General features: G+C 47.7%; 1 annotated feature.

Moving 5' to 3' along the window:
- Window positions 997–2,196: an enhancer, noted in NCBI's record as "P300/CBP strongly-dependent group 1 enhancer chr11:64773912-64775111 (GRCh37/hg19 assembly coordinates)". NCBI's record gives its function as "activates an origin of replication core promoter dependent on BRD2, BRD4, P300/CBP, MED14 and CDK7 cofactors, with strong dependence on P300/CBP, by STARR-seq in HCT116 cells {active_cell/tissue: HCT116}" and the evidence as "EXISTENCE:reporter gene assay evidence [ECO:0000049][PMID:35650434]".

Below are 8,486 nucleotides of genomic sequence, written 5' to 3' on the forward strand. Positions count from 1 at the left end.
TGGGGTCGGGGGGCAGAGTGGTGTAGTGGACTCCTGGGACTGGCAGGGTCCAGGGAGCAAGAGATTGGGGTGGAGGCCACGGGCCATTCATGCAGGGGCTCATAGGCCAGTGAGAACCTTGGGCTTTTACTCTGAAAGATACAGAGAGCACCAGAGAGCTCTGAGCAGAGGAGAACATGATCTGATGCATAGGTTAAAAGGGTCCCTGGTCGGGCTTGGTGGCTCACACCTGTAATCCCAGCACTTTGGGAGGCCGAGGCAGAAGGATCACTTGAGGTCAGGAGTTCGAGACCAGCCTGGCCAACATGATGAAAACCCACCTCTGTAAAAAATACAAAAATTAGCCGGACGTAGTGGTGCATGCTTGGAAGGCTGAGGTGGGAGGATCACTTGAACCCAGGAGGTAGTGGCTGCAGTGAGCCGAGATTGCACCACTGAGCAAGACTCTGTCTCAAAATAAATAAATAGGCTGGGCATGGTAGCTCACACCTGTAATCCCAGCACTTTGGGAGGCAGATGTGAGCAGATCACCAGAGGTCAGGAGTTCGAGACCAGCCTGGCCAACATGGCGAAACCCTGTCTCTACTAAAAACACAAAAATTAGCTGGGTATGGTGGTGGATGCCTGTAATCCCAGCTACTCGGGAGGCTGAGGCAGAAGAATCGCTTGAACCCAGAAGGCAGAGGTTGCAGTGAGTCGAGATCACGCCACTGCACTCCAGCCTAGGTGACAGAGTGAGATTCCATCTCAAAATAATAATAATAATGATAACAAATAAAAATAAAAAATAAAAAGGTTGGCCAGGCGCAGTGGCTCATGCCTGTAATCCCAGCACTTTGGGAGGCCGAGGTAGGTGGATCACCTGAGGTCAGGAATTCGAGACCAGCCTGGCCAACATGATGAAACCCCATCTCTACTAAAAATACAAAAATTAGCCAGACATGGTGGCTCATGCCTGTAGTCCCAGCTACTCTGGAAGCTGCGGCACAAGAATCATTTGAACCCAAGAGGCGGAGGTTGCAGTGAGCCAAGATCACGTCACTGCACTCCAGCCTGGGTGACAGAGTAAGACTCTGTCTCAATAAATAAATAATTAATTAATTAAATAAAAAAGGGTCCCTGTGCCTTGGAGCAGGGGAGCAGGGAAGCCGGTCAGGAGGCTGCTGCAGCGATCCAGGTGAGTGGGTGGGGGGGTCTGTCATGCGGAGAGAAGAGTGGTACCTGCCTCTTAGGTTCCGGAGTGAGGGCACAGCAGGACACGGGCAACCAGGGGCAGCAGCTGCGCTCCTGCGTTCATTCACCAGGCCTGGCCCCATGGAGGCAAGAAGCATCTAGCACAGCTTTGCTCCTGAGGGGCCACAGGCAACAGGTGAGGTGTACGAGCACATGGCTGTTGGAAGATCTCAGATTTTCAAGTCCTTTCTACCTCCTAAGGTTCTGGAAAAGCTTGCAGATGTCATGTGCCTTTGCGTGGTGAATAACACCTCCTTTTGTCATCTGGAGTTGGAGAGGATGCCTCTGCTGCCTCCCACACAGGCAGCTGGGCTAAGACCTGTAATGCAGATGCTTGAACACTCTGACTTGTCTTATGAGGCATGCAGCAGTGGCATGCAGGATGTACACACCCACTGAATCATCACTGACCAGCACTGAGGACCTGGCTGCCTTTGGATATGTAAAACCTACATAGGCTGAGCACAGCAGCTCACGCCTGTAATCCCAGCACTTTGGGAGGCCGAGCTGGGTGGATCACTTGAACCCAGGAGTTCAAGACCAGCCTGGCCAACATGGTGAAACCCTATCTCTTCTAAAAATACAAAAATTAGCCAGGCATGGTGGTGCATGCCTGTAATCCCAGCTACTCGGGAGGCTGAGGCAGGAGAATCGCTTGAACCCGGTAGGTGGAGGTTGCGGTGAGCCAAGATTGCGCCACTGCACTCCAGCCTGGGTGACAGAGTGAGACTGTCTAGAAAAAAAAAAAAAACCTGCCGGAAGATTAGCAGTGGGAGGGCAGAACTATGGTCTGTATGCAGTTGCCATCTCTGTGCTTCCAGTTCTTTGCTTATTAATTAGTAGGACAAAACCTACACTTGGGTAAGCTGCCAGCACGTGCTTGCTGGTGCCTCTGTCACAGGCATGTGGTCCAAAAAATAAGACTGGCATCCTAGATTGTCTTATCAGAGAGGGAAAACAGGTTTTCTGTCTTCTCATTAAAACTGTAACTTTATTATAAACAATCTAATATAAACAATGTAGGTTAAAAGAATTAAATAGGCCAGACATGGTGGCTCACGCCTGTAATCCCAATGCTTTGGGAGGCCAAGGTGGGGAGATCACTTAAACCTAGGATTTTGAGGTTAGCCTGGGCAACAAGGTGACCCAAACCCTGCACTCCAGCATGGGCCTGGGGTCCTGGCCTTGCCAATCTCACCTGGTCACAGTGATTGATGTCAGGAATAGGCACATGACCCAAGCCAGACCAAGGAAGGACAGGCCTGGGAGTTTTGTTGGAGTTACTGGGAAAGTGACAGGGTCTGGGGATGTGCCCCCCTGGGGTGATACTAAGCTGGTGTTTCTGGTGGCCGTCCTACTCCCATGAGCGGGTTCTGCCTGAGAATGTAGCCAGCCCGGAGGACAGCAGATAGAGGAAGAGTCTGACTCCCAATGACATCGTTTGGGCCTCATGTCTGAAGCTGGTGCACTCTAGACTTGGTAGTAATTTAACTTAGATCATCTATAAGGGAAAGAGACTCCTCTAACACAGATATCTGCCGCCTCCCGGTGAAGGTTTCATGAGCAGCTGCATGAAGAATACTTCACTTGCTGCAACACTGCAGAAAAATAAGGCAAGTCCACAGAGGGCAACAAATGACAGTGAAGGGTTAAACAGGAAAACTAAGAATCCAGAGAACCCAATTTCCCATCTCTTCGTGAGACTCCTTTATAAGTGTAAGAAATCTGGAGCAATTTACACCAGATATAAGTGCTGCTTCTCACACATGAACACAATCATAACTTGCTCCTTCTTTTTCTTAATTTTCTTTTGAGACAGTCTCATTCTGTCTCATACAGGCTGGAGTGCAGTGGCGCAATCTCGGCTCACTGCAACCTCCGCTGCCGCCCACCACCCCCAGGGTTCAAGTGATTCTCGTGCCTCAGCCTCCCAAGTAGCTGGGACTACAGGTGTGCGTGACCACACCCGGCCAATTTTTTGTATTTTTAGTAGAGATGAGGTTTTGCCATGTTGGCCAGGCTGGTCTCAAACTCTTGGCCTCAAGTGATCCACCCAGCTCGGCCTCCCAAAGCACTGGGATTACAGGCGTGAGCCACCGTGCCCAGCCTCATCATTATTTAAGAAAAAAAAAATTAAAAATAAAAAAAAATAGCTGGGCATGGTGGCATGTGCCTGTGGTCCCAGCTACTTGGGATGGTGAGGTGGGAGGATCATGTGAGCCTGGGAGGACGAGGCTGCAGTGAGCTGTGATCATGCCACTGCACTTCAGCCTAGATGACAGAACGAGACCCTGTCTCAAAAAAAAAAAAAAAAACACACACACACACACACACACAGAAACTGTGTGTCTAGAGCAAACTTAAAAATAAATATTTAGATAAATAAATAAATAAATAAATAAATAAATAAATAAAATACTTGGGTATACTCCTTGCTAATGCTTAATGGCCAGCAGTTCTAATTTAAGCAGAGTCTTCTCCCCTGGCCTTTTTTCCTTCTGGTTCCAGAATATAGAATTCTGTTACTTTTCTTATTATTATAAAGGTAATCCATGAAATATAATGGCTGATTAAAATGATTTACTTTTTAAAATTAAAACTATAATGCCAAATTTTCAGGCCCGGCACAGTGGGTCATGCCTGTAATCCCAGTACTTTGGGAGGTCAAGATGGGAGGATTGCTTGGGGCCCAGAGTTTGAGATCAGTCTGGGCAACACGGCAAAACCCAGTCTCTACAAAAAATACAAAAATTAGCTGCGTGTGGTGGCACAGAACTTTAGTCCCAGCTACTCAGATGGCTGAGATGGGAGGATCACCTGAGCCCAGGGAAATCAAGGCTGCAGTGAGCCGTGATTGTGCCACTTCACTTCAGCCTGGGTGATAGAGTGAGAACCTGTCTCAAAAATAATAATAATAATAATAATAATAATAATAATAATGTGAGACCCTGTCTTAAAAATAATAATAATGCCAAATTTTTCTTTCTAGACGTTGGGTAAACATGCCTTGTTAAAAGGCTGTAGATCTCTATCCTCAAGTTACAAGCCACTTACTCGGCCCTAAGAAGTTTCCCCTTCAAAAGCAGGTTTCACAGATGTCACGATTTGGGTATTTTAATTTCACGATTCTTTCTTGTGAAAAAAAAATATATATATATATTCATATTCACAATTATATATAACTACAGCTCTATACATCTTCTTTCCTAGTTTTCTTCCAAAGGTATTTCCCAAAGATTTTATTTAAGAGTGCTCTTCTGCTCCTCTGCTTGAAAGTAAAAAAAAAAGAAAGAAAAAAAGCCAGGTGCATTGGCTCTTGCCTGTAATCTCAGCACTTTGGGAGGCCGAGGTGGATGACTTGAGGTCAGGAGTTTGAGACCAGCCTGACAAACATGGTGAAACCCCGTCTCTACTAAAAATACACAATTAGCCAGGTGTGGTGGTGCACACCTGTAATCCCAGTTACTTGGGAGGCTGAGGCAGGAGAATCGCTTGAACCTGGGAGATGGAGGTTGCAGTGAGCCGAGATTTTGCCATTGCACTCCAACCTGGGCAACAAGAGCAAAACTTCGTCTCAAAAAAAAAAAAAAGAAAAAAAAAGAGCTCTCCTCCTTTCCATGAGGCAAATGAAAACACAGCTCGTAATGAGGCCCCTTACTTGTCTTTAAATGCCTCTCCACCCAATTTCTAGCTACAGTCAGTTCTTCAAAAGTTAAACACAGGCCAAGTGGGGTGGCTCATGCCTGTAATCCCAGCACTTTGGAAGTCTGAGGTGAGAGGATCACCTAAGCACAGGAGTTCAAGACCAGCCCGGGTAACACAGCGAGACCCTCGTCTCTACAAAAAATTTAAAAAATTAGCCGGGCTTGATGGCATGCACCTGTAGTCCCAGCTACTCAGGAGACTGACGTGGGAGGACTGCTTGAGGCTGCAGTGAGCCATGATTGTGCCACTGCACTCCAGCCTGGGTGACAGAGTGAGACCCTGTCTCTAAAATATGTTTAAAAAGTTAAACATAGTTGGCCGGGCGCGGTGGCTCACGCCTGTAATCCCAGCACTTTGGGAGTCCAAGGCTGGCGGATCACGAGGTCAGGAGATCGAGACCATCCTGGCTAACGCGGTGAAACCCCGTCTCTACTAAAAATACAAAAACTTAGCCAGGCATAGTGGCGGGCATCTTTAGTCCCAGCTACTCGGGAGGCTGAGGCAGGAGAATGGTGTGAACCCGGGAGGCGGAGCTTGCAGTGAGCTGAGATTGCGCCACTGCACCCCAGCCTGGGCGACAGAGCAAGACTCTGTCTCAAAAAAAAAAAAAAAAAAGCTAAACATAGTTACTTCCTGAACTCCCCCTTTTTCACAGAGCTTGGATGTTGTTTATTTTTATTTTTTTAATTTATATTCACTGAAATTCTACCATGTGGCCCCTGGGAACAACAGCATGGACAGGCAAGACTTTAAGCCAGACATTTGAACAAGTTCTTTCAATGCTACTGGTAGGAAATAAAACAATCCGAGGCTGGGTGCGGTGGCTCACACCTGTAATCCCAGCCCTTTGGGAGGCTGAGGAAGGCAAATCTCTTGAGGCCAGGAGTTTGTGACCAGCTGGCCAACATGGTGAAACCCTGTCTTTACTGAAAATATAAAAATTAGCCGCGCATGGTGGCTCATGCCTGTAATCCCAGCTACTCAGGAGGCTGAGGCAGGAGAATAGCTTGAACCTGGGAGGCAGAGGTTGCAGTGAGCCAGGATTGTGCCACTGCACTCCATCCTGGGTGACAGAGCCAGACTCTGTCTCAAAGAAAAAAAGAAAATATAGACACACCCAAGGTAATAATTTTATGTTCTCCCAAACTTCATTGCCCTGATTTTCAAACTTTTGTGACTGTGATTCACAGTGAGAAGTACACATATCTGTATAAATATCTAAAACAAATGTTTCACCAAACGCTACTTAGCTTTACTACGTGGGTAAAGGTAGTAATGTTTTCAGTTCTGTTCATTCTATTTCATTTTTGTTAATGCTACTAGGTTGAACCATTTGAAATACATCTGTGTATCAAAACTGTCAAATATGGGCAATTTCATACAGTTCAACCTATTTGTGACACTAATTTTACAATCCACTTCCTTAATGGAATGCATCTCATAGATTAAAAAACATTGCTAAGTGGGCATATTTCCAGTTAATATTATTTTTAAAACTAAAAGAGGACTGAATTTTTGTTTTTGTTTTTCATTTAATATGGCGCGGACATCTTTCCACACTGGTATCTTACAGCTCCACCTCACTGTTTTCTGTTTCTTTGAGACGGTCTAACTCTGTCATGAAAGCTAGAGTGCAGTGGCATGATCACGGCTCACTGCAGCCTTATCCTCCCTGGTTCCCACCTTGGCCTCCTAGGTAGCTGGAACTACCGATGTGCACCACTACACCTAATTTTTTTTTTTTTTTTTGAGACAGACAATTTCGCCCAGGCTGGAGTGCAGTGGCACAATTTCAGCTCACTGCAACCTTCGCCTCCTGGGTTGAAGTGAGCATGTCTGGCTAATTTTTGTATTTTTTATAGAGATGGGAGTCTCCCTAAGTTGGCCAGGCTGGTCTTGAACTCCTGGGCTCAAGCAATCCACTCACCTCTGCCTTCCAAAGTGCTGGGATTAGACATGAGCCACTGCGCCTGGCCCACTTCACTGTTTTAAGGGCTTCATGAATTCACATGCACCTACCCCGGCTCAGGTAACCTGCCCTCACTGGAGGCACTTAGGTTTTTTCCAATTTCTTGCTGTTCCAAACCATGCCACAGTGAACTTCGTTGTTCCTGTGCAGTGCCAGAATGTCTGTGGTGCAGGCTCCTAGAAGCAGGATGGCAGGCTCCTACCTCTAGACATTTCTTTTTTTTTTTTTTTTTTTTTTTTGAGACGGAGTCTCACTCTGTCACCCAGTCTGGAGTGCAGTGGCACAATCTCGGCTCACTGCAACCTCCGTCTCCTGGGTTCAAGCAATTCTCTGCCTCAGCCTCCCGAATAGCTGGGATTACAGGTGCCGCCACCACGCCCAGCTAATTTTTTGTATTCTTAGTAGAGACGGGGTTTCACCATGTTGGCCAGGCTGGTCTTGAACTCCTGACCTCGTGATCCACCTGCCTCGGCCTCCCAAAGTGCTGGGTTTACAGGCGTGAGCCATGGCGCCCGGCCAGCATTTCCCATTTTGATCTTAGCTGCATTTCGAAGCCTCTGGGTAGGCGATATGCTCACTTTCTTCCTTGTGTGTGTGTGATGGAGGGTAAATGGTGCTGACCGAAGGGTCCCACTCAGGCAGCCTATCTGTTCAGCCCTCCTCTGACCACAAGCCCCTTTCTGCAAGATGGGAAGCTCCAGCTTCTTCCAGACCTCTCTCTAGGCAAACTTCATGGAGGCATGAAGACATTGTGCTTTACCATTTACTAGACCTGAGTTTGAATCTCACCCATGCTCCTTAAACACTCTGGATTCCATTATCATAGCTACGAAAAGAATATAAACCTCTCAGGGTTGCAGGGAGGATGAAGCTGAACACGTGAAGTGCGTTGCAAACAGTTACACAGGAGTTAGCTATTGTCCTCAGCTGGTGCTGACAGCTCTTTCCCAAGCATGAGAGAGGCTCTTCCGTGCTGCCTATCCACACTTACCTGCAGCAATAAGGCTGTCTCCTGAGTTTACAAAAGGGCTTGGTCCTTGACCTATTTCCTCACTTCTTCTGGACTTCTTGAGCGCTAAAGTAAAGAATGAAACTCTTGGACAAAGCCATTCATTCAACAACAAATATTTATTGAGCACCTACTACATGCCAGCCACTGTGCTAAGCACCATCTGGGCCTCAGTTTTTCCATCTGCAAAAGTAGGAACTGTGCTTCTGAACAGGGAAACGCTGGGCCTCTGGGTGGGGGCAGCCTTTGGGGCGGGACTGCAATTCCGTCATTGGAACCCAGGGACGCCCCGCATGTTTCCGAACGGCCTCCAGGGGGCACCGCCGCCCTGAACTGAGAGCCACCGGAGCCGGGTAGGGGGAGGCCCAACTTTCCGCTCTGTCAGAGGATGATGCCGAGGGCCCAGATGAGCAGGATTTGGACTGTGTTGCTGGGAACGGGGGCCTACACTGGCCCCAGGATGAGTTCGTCCGTACCTGGGGGCCCTGGGTTCTGACTCTCAGGTCAGACGCAGCCAAGATGCAACTCAGGAACTTCAAGGTTTCCGCTCCGGCCAAGAGCCCCAGTCCG

The sequence above is a fragment of the Homo sapiens genome, chromosome 11, assembly GCF_000001405.40.
Source record: "Homo sapiens chromosome 11, GRCh38.p14 Primary Assembly".
NCBI lineage: Eukaryota > Metazoa > Chordata > Mammalia > Primates > Hominidae > Homo > Homo sapiens.